General features: G+C 42.4%; 1 long non-coding RNA gene across 1 annotated transcript in view, besides 2 other annotated features; it reads left to right on the plus strand.

Annotated features, from left to right (window-relative positions):
• The window catches only part of LOC105378102 (uncharacterized), a 155,467-nt gene that overhangs the window by 42,508 nt on the left and 97,922 nt on the right, over positions 1 to 15,037 (plus strand). The gene's annotated exons all lie outside the window — the stretch shown is intronic.
• Positions 5,822 to 6,322: an enhancer, noted in NCBI's record as "H3K4me1 hESC enhancer chr6:164372861-164373361 (GRCh37/hg19 assembly coordinates)". NCBI's record gives its function as "activates a minimal SCP1, AML or CMV promoter by ChIP-STARR-seq in primed H9 embryonic stem cells {active_cell/tissue: H9 hESC(primed)}" and the evidence as "EXISTENCE:reporter gene assay evidence [ECO:0000049][PMID:30033119]".
• Positions 14,194 to 14,965: an enhancer, noted in NCBI's record as "H3K4me1 hESC enhancer chr6:164381233-164382004 (GRCh37/hg19 assembly coordinates)". NCBI's record gives its function as "activates a minimal SCP1, AML or CMV promoter by ChIP-STARR-seq in primed H9 embryonic stem cells {active_cell/tissue: H9 hESC(primed)}" and the evidence as "EXISTENCE:reporter gene assay evidence [ECO:0000049][PMID:30033119]".

Below are 15,037 nucleotides of genomic sequence, written 5' to 3' on the forward strand. Positions count from 1 at the left end.
AACCAGTCAAACCAGTCTTTCCCAGCTCTAATTATCAGATGGAGCGGAACACTAGGTAAGAAGTGAGAAGCAGTGGAGTGAGGCGCTGGCTCCCTGAGGAGGAGCTGGGGAGGAAAGGGCTCATGGAGGGGCAATATTGCTTTGTCTGTCTGTGGACTGTGGATGGGGATTCTAGCCTTCATCGCCTCCATGTTACACATTCACCTTCCATGGGTTTTCCCATGTGAGCCTTCTAGGGATGAGCTATTACTTACCGTCTTGCATGTTTATTTTCTTCATTTCAAGGGCTTACAGTGCCAGATGCAGAGTTTGACACAGTTCGGTAAATGAAAGAATAAAGACTGTTAATGAGTTCCACTTTCTGTTTTCTGGTAGAATAGTAAGAACAGGCTTTTCATTTATTTCTACTTTTTCTTATTTGGACTTTTAAGTCTTGCCAGGATAGTCAGACTCTCTTTGTGTTTTGAGGTGGGGTTGTGCCGCTGGAGGAAGCTGAGGGGCAATTGTGGAGCAGGCAGTCACTTCGATTCTCTGTGAGTGCAGGAATCAGGGTCCAGGGCAGTTTCACTGCAAGGTGCACGGCCCTGCTGGACTTGTTGCTTAATATCTCAATTTTTTGAGGCCCTGAAATTGTGCAAACCCTTGGATGAATTTTCGTCTCATTCTGCAGCATTATTTCCAACTGCCGCTCCACCATGGCAGCTCTCCCAGGGGCTTTGTTAATGAATATAATTTTACAGCAACAAAAGAAGCTACGAGAACTGAAAGTTCTAGAGGGAAAACAGCACTTTCTTTTTTCCCCAAGTCAAATTTTTGAAGTCGCAGCTGTTTTCTCCTGCAGACCCACAGTCACATGGATCCCTGTTTAGGGAATCCTAGTCTTTTCAGTGGGAGGTTTTGATTTACTCACCTATCAAGACACTAGCTTATGTTCAAGAGCTCAAAGTCCTCATTTTGGATTCTTGTCAGTAGTAATATCACACACCCTTTCCCTGTACATTATCCAGTTCAGAAGTACAGGTGGTGCTTTGAAACTGTCAGGCCACAATAATGAGAAACGAAGAAATGTTACTTGAGCTTTGAAAAACAGGAGTCCATACATGATGGTGGTGTTGGAAGTGTGAACTCCATAGACTCAGCGCTTTTCCTGTCTTACTTTCAGCCTTGCTCCCTCCCTCCATCTGATTCACAGCTGCCTGTCCATTAAGGCACTAAGAGCTCATGGCTGCAGGGTGGACAGTGGCTGGACTTTTCCCCTGGTATTTCTGCTGCCTCCATTAACTGGACATCAATGAATTTGAATAATGGGTTGGTTTGTTATGCAGAAAAATAGATATTCATTCCTAGGAAGTTAGCTCCTTTAGAGGAAGTTTCCACTGGCAAACAGGACCCAAAGGATGAGCAGACTTAACTCACCAAAAATGTCCTCAATTCCAGTTGCCTTGGCTACAGCAGCAGCAGTTCCTTTCGATCATAGCACTCTTACGCCAGTGTGGCATTGCTGACAACTTCACCACCTGCCCCTACACTTCTACACCAGCAGAGACACACCTTCCTCTCCCCTGTGGGCTTCCCTGCTCATGACAAGGCTTGGTCGGTGGATGGTGTATGTACATTTCAGTGAGTGAGAGCAGTGCTTGAAGTATGAATCATTGATTATGTACTGATTCCTTTGCTCATTGGTTTGTATATAAAACATTGATGAGTCCTCTGTAAACTTAAGTAAGATAGGTTCAGCCATGCCAAGGGTTCACAATCCAGCAGGGCTCACAAAAGGATAATTGGTATTAATATAATGATTGCTGTAATGGATATTTATACTCAAGGTTCTATGGGAACATGGAAAAGTGAGCTCTTGAGTTCGTTGTTGGGAGAAACATGGAAAAAAATGATGAAGTGAATTTTACTGTAAAAGTAAAGTGGAGAAAAGTAGAAGTGTTGGTAAGCTTCAGTAGAGGGAGAAGGCAAGGACGCATGATGACTTTATGGGCTCTGGAGACTATGTGCGGGCCACTTTTTCGATAACAAGATTATATTCACAATTACATAATTATTTTATGACTGTTGGTATGAAGATTAATATATCAGTATTGTTTATTGAAACATTTCATTTGACCCCAACATTCATTTTTTTCTTCTGATTTTAAAAGAAATAAAAATATTTTGAAGGCTCCTTAAAGTATTGTGGGCCCTTGGCACTGGCTCTGTATCAGCCCTGGGAGAAGGTAAAGAGAGGGAGAAAGAAGAGGAAGAGAAGAACAAAGTTGTAGAAAGAAGAGAAGAAAAGCAGTCCCGCAAAAGAACAGTGTGAGATGCGTAGAGATTGCAAAAGAAATGATAACACAAGTTCATCAAATAATAAAATAAAAATATGAAAACAGAAGAAAATCAAAAGAAAGTAGAAAAGTGAGATGGAACTGAGAATGGTCACTGAGAACAACAAAATGTAAAATGACGTCAGAAGTTTTTCCTTTGAGTAGAGCCCCGAGAGAGAGGGAGGGCTTGGTCTTTCCCACCACTGCTTGGTAGTAAAGGCCATCCCTGGGGCAGGGGCAGGTAGGGAGAGAGGCCACCCTAGGACAGGAAGATCTGAACTGGGCTGGGCCCAAGGGAGCTTGGCAGGCGAAGACAGTGCCCAGTGACTTAGCCTGCCTTGAGAGGCAGATTTTATGTGCAAACAGAAATGGTCTAGTCTTCCTTCTACAAATGGAGTCCTAACTCAAACCTCAGAAAAGGAAGGAACCATATTAACAAGCATCGCACTTACCATGGATTACATTTACCTGAATCTCATCAGCGCTTTACATTCTGGACTTTTTTTTTTTCTTTCTTGAGACAGAGTCTTGCTCTGTTGCCCAGGCTGGAGTGCAGTGGCATGATCTCAGCTCACTGCAGCCCCTGCCCCCCAGATTCAAGCAATTTTGCTGCCTCAACCTCCCAAGTAGCTGGGACTATAGGCACACCCAGCATGCCAGACTAATTTTTGTATTTTTAGTAGAGACAGGGTTTTACCATGTTGGCCAGGCTGGTCTCGACCTCCTGGCCTCAAATGATCCACCTGCCTCGGCCTCCTAAAGTGCTGGGATTACAGGTGTGAGCCACTGCACCTGACCCATTCTGGACTTTATGACATTTATTTTGCTGTTGTTTCTAAATGCCTATCACAGAACAAGCTTTTCATAGGTATAATACATTTTCATGTACTTATTTATTTTCATATTCACAGTAGTCCTGTGAAGAAGACATCACTCTTCTCACTTTATAAATGAGAAACCAGGCTCAGAGTTTGTAACTGGCCCTAAGTCACATAGTTATGGAATTTCCTGAGGAGGGACTGACTTGACACTAGGGGTGTGTGTGTGTTCACACCTGTGTATGTGTGTTTCACTGGCACTGCCTTTCTGTGTAATGTTAAAAGATAACTGATTCCACATTGACTAGGGTATTCTTACACACTTTTTCCCATTTTTTTCTCATTTGGTTATTTATGCATTCTAAAGTCTGCCTAACATTCCTTTCCTTCTCTTTAATGAAAGCACCACTTTGATCATCTATCATTGGTTTGACCCAGCTGACATCTTAAATACAAAACCATGAGTAAGCTACTCTTCCTTTGATACTTAGGCATAAAATTTGGCATGCCAAATGTTTATGTTTATGAAGTTTTTCTAACACAGCTTGGAATTTTCATGTATCTGTTGATGACATGCAAATTGTTTCCCTTAGCATGCAGAAAATCCAAATGTAATTTAGAAAACGTTTCAGCTGGGCACGGTGGCTCACGCCTGTAATCCCAGCACTTTTAGAGGCTGAGGCGGATGGATCACCTGAGGTCAGGAGTTCAAGACCAGCCTGGCCAACATGTGAAGCCGTGTCTCTACTAAAAAATACAGAAATTAGCTGGGCATTGTGGTGGGCACCTGTAGTCCCAGCTACTCAGGAGGCTGAGGCAGGAGAATCACTTGCACCCGGGAGGTGGAGGTTGCAGTCAGCCAAGGTCACACCACTGCACTCCAGCCTGGGTGAAAGAGAGAGACTCCATCTCAAAAAAAAAAAAAAGAAAAGAAAACATTTCTTAGCAACATCCAAAAATGCACTGAAGGTCGTCACATTCAATGCATAACTTGGCAAGTTTTATTTTTTCCCCATAACATATAATTTTAAAGGAATCTAGTGCTTAGGAAAACTCCTTATGCATTGAGGCAAAGGTAGAGTTTTGCCAAAGATGTTAGCCCTTGGTAAGTTTAAAGCAACGTCCATTGGCTTCAACGTTTCATCCCCAAAGATTGTGCCATAGGTAGTTGCCATGTGCTTGGTTCAAATCAGTGAGAAATTATACAGAGCAGGAGGAAGTTGTGGTTGATTCATGACTCCTGTAGGAAAGCATTTGATTCAAACCATACCCTGTTCTCAGTGGCCAGTAAGAGAGGGAGTTCTACTTCAATCCTATTCTTCCTCAGTCTAGCTTGACTGGTCCACAGGTTGGGTGGTTCCATGGACTAAGATTAATGTAGGAATTCAGTAAATCTTGGCTGCTAGCTGTGGCTCCGTCATTAATTCACCAAGGAAGGCCGGTAAATTAGTCTAGCTTTTATGTGCTAATGTTTTCTCATGTAAAAAATGAGCACAATAACGACGGCTGAGCTATGAATTTTGCAAATAAAAGTTTTTCTAAAGCAAGTCTTGTTGATGTATTATCTTGCTTACTGAAAGGAAGTTGGGTGTTCAAGATTCGAAAATATATATGCATCTCTAAATCTGTCATTTAATGGCATGGCTACTAACTCACGGAGTGATTCTAAGGGTTATGTCTGTGTTTTTAAGTCAAGTCTGCAAAATGGAAAAACATTTGAGACACTTGTAAACCTGTAAAGCTCCATTTATTTAACTATAATAATAAGTACTGCCTGAATCCTTACTGTGCGTAAGCTGCTGGGTACAGAGAGAAATAAGAACTTGTTCCTACCCTCCAAAGACCGCAGTCTAACTGGAAACAAACAGGTAATAACTATAATGCAAATCTAATATACTGTAAACTTTAGTACAATAGGATGTCTTCTAAAGTCTGTAGAACATTTCTGTATAAGTAAAAAGTGTGAGAATTAATTCTACGTGAGACAGCGGATTGAGGAGGTGGCATTTAGAAGGAACCTATGGAAGGTATAAGATATAAGATGGTCTGTAGGGAAGGTGGAGGAGTGCTTCCCAAGGAGACGCAGTGGGCCAGGCACAAGGCTGGGTGTGCATGGCCTGGCCACAGAGCTTCCAAGATGCTAAGGTGGGTGGAGCACAGTAGGGCCTGGGAAGTGGTGAGCCTGGAATGGTGGATTGAGGCAGCTGGTAAGATACCTTTACACTTACATTTACATCTGGAGCCCTCAGAAGTGTTGACATGAGAAGGTAGCATAGTCGGAGTTGCTGTTTCAGGAATATCTGTGTTGGTAGAATGGGAAGGGATGGAAGGGAGCAGTGTTGAGTCAGAGAAGCTGGTTTGGAGGATGCTGGGTTCATGACACTGTTAGCCGCAGGGAATCCACAGGGGTCTGCAGCAACCTCAATTCTTGCCTCCTCAGAAGAATTCCACAGAGGGTCATAGGGCAGAGTGAGAGACCAAGGCAAGTTTGAGAGCAGGAGTGAAAGTTTATTACAACATTTTAGAGCAGGAACGAAAGTAAAGTACACGCAGAAGGGGGTCTAGCGGGGGACTTGAGTGATCAAGTGCCCTGTTTGACCTTTGACTTGGGGTCTTCTACGCTGGCATATGCTTCCGGGGCCTTGCGCGCCTGCTCTCCTGATTGCTCCCTTGGGGTGGTGTCCGCATGTGCAGTGACCTGCCAGCACCTGGGAAAGGAGCACGCACAGTTGTGTTTACGGGAGTTGTGCGCAGGCGCACTTGAGGCATTTTTTTTTTTTTTCCCTTCCCGGTCGAGTGTTCCTGGAGAAAGGTCATAGACCAGTTAAACTCCACCATTTTGCCTCTTAGCACACATGCTTGAGCCCACTCGGCCAACTTCTGAGATCTTATCAGGAAGCTGCTGATCCCCAGTTTCAGGTGTTTCCATCTATTGGAAGACTGCCTTTCCCTGGTGCTGGCTGTGACAAATTATGATTTTAGAGACAGCAACCGCCTGACCATCACCTGCTGGCTGCCTGACATTCCTGGTGGGGGTGGGGGGCTGCCCTCTCCTGCCCTGCTCATGTCTGACTAACCACCTGCTGTAACAATACATCATCACCGTGACAATATCAGAAAACACTGTGAACGGGACCACACTGACCAGGAGATCCAGGTCCCTGTAGTCTAGCCACACACGCCACCGCATCTATATACTCCCTTCCAGCAGCAGCACAGAAAGCCAAAGCCACAGCCCTCTGCCATTTCTGTGACTCCCCAAAGCACTGGGTGGAAAGAACACTATGTAGGCATTATTCTGAGGTCACACGTGTTTACCTTAACCCCAGAATTTGTGCAGATCTTTCTGCCTTTGCTGATTTGCCTGGTGTGACCTGGGGCACAACCCACTCTCATCCGAAGTCATACCAGGGCTCTACGGCGGTCACCATGACTGTAGAAACTACCCCTCAAGAGCATCCACTTCCACACACACGTCGGGTGTATGTTATTATTGATCATATTTTAATTGTTTTCCATTTATTTGAATTTTCAAGATTTTGTGGTCGTGTAGTATTAAAACTTACAACAAAACCTCATCAACCATTAGTTGACAACCTGTTTTTTTTTTTTTTTCTGCAGAATCATTTTTTAACAAATTGCATTTACATAAAACTGTCAGGCATTCAGAAATGTTTAACAAAAAGGAAGCCGCTTCGGCCAGCCCGCAGCTTGTTTTCCACAGACCTGTGGTCAGTGATATTCCCTTGAAGATCTGTTTATCTCATAATGAATCTTTAAAGATGTACTCTTTGTTTTATGTACTTAAAAAAGACGGAGAGAAGAGGCACGTGGGCAAAGCTCCTTGTGTTGGGTTAATTTTTTTTCTGTGTAAATACTGAAAGGAACAGTGTCAGAAAAGTCCATTTCCAGCTTGATCTCATCTTGAGCATTTCTCGCTCCCCAAAGGTAACCTTTCCATCGTGGGTCGCTCTGAAGTGAGTCGACGCGGCAACCATTTGTTTCTTGCTGTTTCCTCTGTATTGTTTTCCTTAATATTTTTTCAGGCTCTTGACAGATGCTGTAGCTAAGTTGTGGTAGTTTGATTCCCTTGTACCATGTTTCATTTGTGACAATTGGTCGCCCGGAATAACATTTGTATTTTTACTGTTGTCCCACATTTTAGTTAAAATAAATAATGGAAACAATGGTGTTTTCCAAATACACTCATCCAATTATCTAATTGTAATGTTCCTCTTTCCTGTTTAAGCATGTCTAGGTTTTTAGTTCTTGATTTGTTTCATTTCCTTTGAAAATATCCTTGATTTATCATTATTTTTACTAATTCCTTTTTGCTTAGATTGTTCTATGCTTCATTTTGTGTTTTTATGGAGTTCATTTTTGCCCTTTTTGATGACTAATTTCTCATTTTCTTGCATTTATTGAGTATAGCACATTGATCATGCAAAATTTTTTAGCTCTTATAGCAATTATATTTTATTCTAAATGACAATGTTAATATTCACCAAATTGGACTATATCTTTACCCTGCAAGTTGAAAAAGAAATGTATCACTTTGGCACCTTTGGAATATTTGCAACTCTTGAGATTTTTTTGAAGCACAAAATGTGTTTGAGAGTACAGGACAGCCTCAGAGGCACAGAGATAAAAATAACCGAATTATTTCCATTCACTCCTCTGTTTGAAGTCATAAAATAAACTGAGAAACAGCATGAATCGTAAAAAGATGAATTGGGAATCTGAAATTCTTTCAGCTTTGTTCATCTAAGATATTCATTGTTTGGAAGTGGTTTATTATAAATTTTTCTGTCATTGGTGACCCTTGGTTAAAACTTAAAAAAAGAAACATATTATCAAGATCTTATTGGTCCAGACTAAGTGTTTGATACTGTATCTTAGAGCCATTATAAATGTCTTTCTCAACAGTACCACTTTTGTTACCCTCATATTCATTATTCAGGATGCCACACATTTAATCACATAAGATCCATAAGAAATTTAAATGCTTTGAAGTTCATATGGCCACATAAGAGCTTTATAACTTATGGGCATAAGAAGAAATTTCATTTTTACATGGCACTAAGAGACAAGAGGATAGAAGCCCATGGAAACAGATGGAGGTGGCTTAGACCCAAGCATCGGTTTTGAGAACACAGGCCAGGGGTTAAGGACAGCTTCTGGAGGCTCCTGCTGTTCTTCTGCCCTCCCCCACCCCATCTAGTCCTCAGCACAGTGCCTCCCTGTCCTTTACTGTAGAAGGGTTCTGATTCAGAGATAATGATGCTGTGAGAACAAATTGGGGGAGAAAAAGGTGAAGTTAAAATTAACTCTGGTAGTATGGGGTGAAAGAGGCAAAAAAAAAAATGCTTGAAGATTTACTGAATATACGTCATCCAGATTCTGCCAAGAGAATGTACAGTGCTAAGTGTTGGGTGTGTTTTTCAGTATTTCTCTGGAGTGCTCTCAGAAAAATCCTCGTAGAAACGACTGAATGAGAGTGTATGGTTTGCTGTAGAAAAGTTATATTTAAGATAGCTAAAACTAATTTTTAAATGAAAGGCAGTTTTGCTTGTGGAGTTTCACAAACATCAAAATGCCTTTTAGATATCTGTCTTAAACGAATCCTAATATGTAACAAAGAGAAGCCATTCCAGCGTGGGGCCAAGGCTTCCTAAACCAAATGATTTTTGTGTTTTAACAAAGTGCCCTGGACTTGGAACCTGGAAGACTGCTTGGAAATTTAGATCTACCTTAACTCACCTTCTCTGGGCCTCTGGAGCCTCTGTTTGTGCCCCGTACTGTGCATAGACCTGCTCCCAAGTGTCATTGGAACATATTTATTCCCAGCTCTGCATCCAGTGACCTCACATTGGTGGCTTGCAGTTGGCCATGTGGGAGCATTTACACCATGGAAATTGGCAAATCCTAGCTATCACGGCTTTATTCTCTCAAAGAGTCAGTAGTGAGGTATTTGCCAACAAACTTCTGTTGCTGGCTGATATTTAGGATACTCTGAAAATTCCATGCTGGTCTGATTCTATGGAGCAATTGTTTGCTTTTAGCTCTTAGTTTCCACTAATTCAGTGACATAAACTCCAGAGAATTACATTTTGTCTCAAAGCCCTCCAGGCGGGGCTTGGTCAGCTATGGGATGGGTGAGTGGCAAGTGGCTCTGTGAATGCGTCTTGGGGCTCCGCCTCTCCCCTTTAGTCAGAGCTCTGTTATTCCACCCCGATCCTCATCATTAGCTGCTAGAAATAGTCACCACATGGTCTGCAGAGCCTTGCTTGCATGAGGTATGCCCAGAGGAATGGACATTCTTCAGCTTCTCTTCCCTGAAGTCACATTTCCAATGAAAAGACTGAGACCCAATCTAAGCGCAAATGCTTGGTATTATCATTTACGTACATTACATTGTATCCCCCTGCAATTCTGCCTCCTGCCAAAACTTTACAGTGTACATCATGTACCCATTCCAATAGTAGCTTTCCTGGGGAAAATGAAAAGTACATAAAAGTACTGGCTATGTGGAAATAACACCTTTATATAACATTGATCCTTAGTAAGATCAAAACATAGGATAAAAGTAATCATGTTCTCAGAAGCAACACATGAGTACATGAAAATCAGTGTGTGGTCTATTTGCTTTTCTCTTTTGGATTATTTATAGAGATAGTTGTGGCATTTCAACAAGAGAATGGCCACGTTTGATTGTCTTACCCATGAGGGGTGTGTTATGTATACACTCTCCTAAGGCTTGGGAGGGAATAAAGTGTTCCTCTCTCCTGCAAATGCCGTAATTTACTAGCCACTTGCACCTGTCATGCTGCACATTTCTCTCCCAGTGGGAATACTACGTATGCCTTCAATAAGCCACCATCCCTGGCAACTAAAGGAAGGGCAGAAAGCTGTGTGTGTCCATTAAGTCTATTTTGCACCTTTGATCTTCTTGCTTGGCCACTTTATTTGTCATCTTTCCAACTCTTCTGGCTAAAGTGGTGCGGCTTTCACCTTAAATCAAGTATTTTCCATTCTTTAGCAATTTAATTTGTAAATCTTTTACAGCACGTTTTTGCTTTGGTTTGATCCCTTCTGGAGAAGGTGGATGTTGGGGATATGGAAGAAAGAGTTTAAGAAAAAATAATCCAGATTATAGGGGTGAACATCATCAAAATACAGCTTCCTCAAAACAATGTGCTTCTCTCATTTGCAGACATTATTTCTGAAGAGTTATATTTGTCCCTTGTTTCAATGGAAGTAGTTTATTTCCATTTATTTTCAACTTTTCTCTCGCATTTTGTATTTTCTGCATTATTTTTGATAGAAAGTGGGCATACTTGAGTTGTCAACCATGTAGGGAAACTTTTAAGTTCTTTTAATATTTTCAACAGGAGCCCTATAATTGGATAATTATTTTTTTAAAATACTTTTTGGCTTGTTCTACTTTTTCCCTTTTGGGCTGTCTTACTATGTTTGAAAATGCACACACGATAAAACCTAATAATAGTAATTCCGTGCACAGATTTTCCTCATGGCAACGTTCTTGAACCATGATCACACTTTCATAATGCGGCGTCCTAGTGGCCAGATGACATTTCTGGCTCGTCACTTGTTGAGCCATCTTAACCTTGAACCAGCTTTGAGTCCTTCACAGTCAGTGCTAGCGGACAGAGCCCCCTGCTGGAAGTTCTGGGCACCTGTATTTCCCCTGGAAACGGAAGGTCACTCCCCAAGGCTGGGAGACCAGGAGGCTGGAATATACCCAATTCGTGAAAAAAATGGACAGAAAGCATTCGACTGACAGCATGAGTCAATAAAACCTCAAATTATTTTTTCAATACACTTCCTTTCCTTTTGAAAGTTTGGGTAAGAAAGGCAAATACCAGATCTCTTTAAACGATCTATTGTTTCTCAAATTAGAATTTCCTAAGAAATGATTCTTTTGGTTAATAAAAGGTATGCCAGCAGTGGGGTGGGTATTATATTTTCTCATTTCAAATTTTGGAAATGGTGGATTAAATACAATTAAACATGATTCTTTGTTGCAGAACTTCTCAGTGCCTTTAATATGAAAAGTGCATTTTGTACAACAGAGTTTTTCCTAAACTTGTTTGACCATGGGCATTTATTTTGTGGCACATTTATTAATGTTTTTGGAAGAGTGCTTCGCAGAATATCAGTTTAGGAAATCCACTGATGTTCTTCACTCATTTTTCTAAGGCTTCTGTTTCAAAGAATACTTCAATTTTATTCTAATTATACCACTGTACATACAACTGCGGGAAGGCTATTTCTTAATATTCTAATGCTGAGAGACACAATGCTTGGCACTTGGATAGTCAGGGAAGTTTTTATTCATTTGAGTCTTGGCTCATTTTTTGTGCTATCTTTATGAATATCTTCGTTTAGACATAGGTTCATCCATATTTTATAAAAATGATTTTTCCTTAGTTTTAATGGACATACTTTAACAGTTAGCAGTGTTTGAAAAGAAGACTTAAGAATTATATGCATCTTAGATTTATAGGCCAATAAAGTATTGATTCTATGTAGGAAAGAGTGAGCTGGTCTCATACAGGTATTTTGGGATCAAGCGCTTCTCATAAAATCAGTGTTTGAAAAGGAAATTATCATATTACTCTTCATATTATAGTGGTTTTGTTACTTTAAAAGTGCTCTTATGGGATCATACACAGGTGCATACTCACTTTATAGGTGTGACTGGGCAATGGAAGTGTTTACTAGAAAATATCTCATGAGAAAACTTAGATTTTCTAGGGTTTCCAGTTTGAAACATTCACAAGGTTCTGATTACTTAAATTACATTTTAATAAACAAATGTTCTGGTCTAATCCAGATCTTGTGATTTCTCTGTAGCTGGTTACTTCTTACTGTATCAACTAAATGTAAGAAACAGTTCTCCGTGTAGAATTCAAGTGTTGTCCTATTTTTTATTAGCTGCTAGAAGAGAGTGCCCCAAGTTTTTCCTCCAGGGCACATGGTTTGATTGGCATACTTTAGCTTTGTTCTCAGGAGCACCATGTCACGTGGATTCTCTCCTATTTAATCAGGCCACTGTAAAACGTGGTACAAAATGGTCAGAATGATTAGGGTCATACAGTGCTTACCGGACTGCTGCCATTTGGTTTATTCATTCTGCTAAGATTCTCAGCTTTAGGAAGAGCTGCTTTACTCAGGAGGAAGAGAAAATTAATTCTCCAATCCTAAGTCTTCCGTCTCAACGCTGCATCCTGAAGTGATTTGTAAAATTCAACTCTAACCCTGCGGATTCTGGGTCAAAACACACCCATCTTCAGTTTCCCTGCAGAAGGACAGAGCCGGAGAGGAACGTGCTGTCTGTCTGTCCTTCTGGGCCTGGTCTCAGCCAAAGCTTCCAGATAGGTGCTTTCAGGATTTCCCAATTGCTTCAAGTAACCTCTTTCAGGACTTTGCAGTCTTACTGTTCAAACCGCTTTCTTTCCCCGAGTCCCTTTAAGAAAATGCAATATGTAGATATTTGATTTAAATAAAATCCACAAACATTGTTAAGCATATTTATTAGATAATTGTTTCTTCCCATTACAGAAATACTCTCTACTCCAAAAACGTATTCAATTCCTTCAAACAGAAAACTTCTGGTGACTTTGAATATGACACATTTCAAAAGAATGGGGAATTCCTGTTAGGCCCCCGGCACTGTGGGCTTCCTCATGCTGCTCTCTTGTTCAATGCAATGCAAGTCCCACCAATCCTGGAATTCTTGCTGATGTCTAGCTCCTGCCTCCTGCTTGCAAGTAGAGTTTCCAGACAAAATACGAACACCCTGGCCATGTTTGGGACATGCTGCTACTAAAAAAGTATTCCCTACTTATCTGAAGTTCAAATTTAACTGGGCATCCTCTGTTGTTATTTACTAAATTTGGCCACCCTAATTCTAATTCACTTGGACTCTGACAAAATGCGCAGGATTTTATAAAAAGACTTTTATTCTGAGTCGAAGAAATGTAACATAAATGGCAATATTCTCTCTCTCTTCTGGGACAGGGTCTTGCTCTGTCTCCCTGGCTGGAGTACAGTGTGCAATCATGCATGGCTCACTGCAGCCTCAACAATCCTGGACTGAGGTGATCCTCCCATCTCAGCCTTTCAGGTAGCTGGGACTGCAGGTGCATACCACCAGGCCAGGCTAAATTTTGTATTTTTTTGCATAGAGACGGAGTTTCACTATGTTGCCCAGGCTGGCCTTGAACTCCTGGGCTCAAGTAATCCTCCCACCTCAGCCTCCCAAAGTGCTGGGATTACAGGTGTGAACTGAGTCCTGCTGGCAATTATTTTTATCGTCAAGAAACCTGATTCTTTTTACTTTAACACTGAGATTGATTCCAACATCACCTTCACAGATACCTGGGACTTTCTCTGGGAAAGTCCACAGCAGCCTTCAGGGGCCCCAATGTGTCCCCTTTAAATCCCAGCGACTGAGCTGTTGCTCGGGGTTCCGCTACTGGCACCCGGCCCACTGAGCAGGACAGCTCCTTCCTGGAATCTCCTGACCCTGAGTGGGAGCCCCTCTGTTCCAGCGAGCTCCAGGCCTGCCTCCTTCACGAGGCCCCCAGCTCGGGCTGGCAGGGACTGCACCTTGGCTGCTCTCTTCCGTGCTCACATGTGGGCACTCACTCCGTGTTGTGCCCCCTCCCTCCACGCGTGTCATCTACCCAACATCGGGAAGCTCGCTGAGGGCTCACTCCCTAGCTTTCTCCTGTTTCCTTGGGATTGCGAGCTATTCTTAGTCAGTGTTTAATAAATGCTTCCTGAATGAATAAAAATGTCATTCCAACAGAAGCTCCAGTCACACGCCCTGGAGATTTAGCACTACAATCTGAAGAACATGTTCAAAACCCATTTTTCTGTAAAATAACAGACCTTACCAATCGCTCTTGTAATAATCCTTATGGAGGAGGAGAATCTTATCAGCTTCCCTTAATTCCACAGAGGTAATCCCTGCAGCCCCAGCTTCATCGTGGCAATTATATCAGTTCTTTGTTGTTCTGTTTTAGATTTGTTTCCTGAATTCTCAGTGAATGCCAGGGATTGATTGAACTGGGTCATTTGTATTTAATCCAGATTCTTTGTCTCTGCAAGGATTGGAGCCTTGGCCCCGGGACATGCTCCTGGGTGCGCTGCGTTTCTCCCAGCCCTGAATCAGGACACTCTGAGCTGCCTTTCCCTGGCTGGCATGGAGGAGCAGGAAGAATCCTGACGCTGGAGTCAGGAAGGCTGGGTTCCAACCCGGCTCCTCTCCGCTCCTGGGCTGAGAGGGTCATAGCACCTTGTGGGGCCACCTGGGGTGTGCTGGGTGCACGGCGGGCCCCTCAGCCATGCCCGTTCCTCGTCCTCCCTCTCTTCTACGTTCCACTCCTTACACACTTGTGTGTAATTTAGCTCTTATTGACAGAATAAAGTAAGGAGGGCTTTATTCTCACGTGCCCAGGAGCTCCATGAGCTTATGCAGTGCAGAAATGAACCACTAAACCACGGTACTTTTTCAGAAAGCAACTTTCTCCTTTTCCTTGATTTTTGGAGACTAAATATGGCAAATGCCTTCTGGTGCCCCTTCCGTGGTGCTCATTAATTAGCCCTGAGGCATTTTCTGTTGGTGATCCCTGTCATCTCCTTTCCCACTCCGTGCAGGCTTTGTCTGAAGACCAGGAGGGAGAAGAAACTTTTGGTGTCTCCAACGTGTGCAGGGCTGGGAGCTGCTGTGGCCTCATTCTTGGGGGTGGTGGGGTGTGAGGAGGATACATAAGCTTCTGGGGCACCTGGCACCAGCCAGTAACCTGGGACTCTCTCACCCTCCGTTTTCAGCTTTGGGGGCTACAAAACCTGCCCAAAGGATGTGCCGTGAGT

This window comes from Homo sapiens, chromosome 6, assembly GCF_000001405.40.
Source record: "Homo sapiens chromosome 6, GRCh38.p14 Primary Assembly".
Classification (NCBI taxonomy): domain Eukaryota; kingdom Metazoa; phylum Chordata; class Mammalia; order Primates; family Hominidae; genus Homo; species Homo sapiens.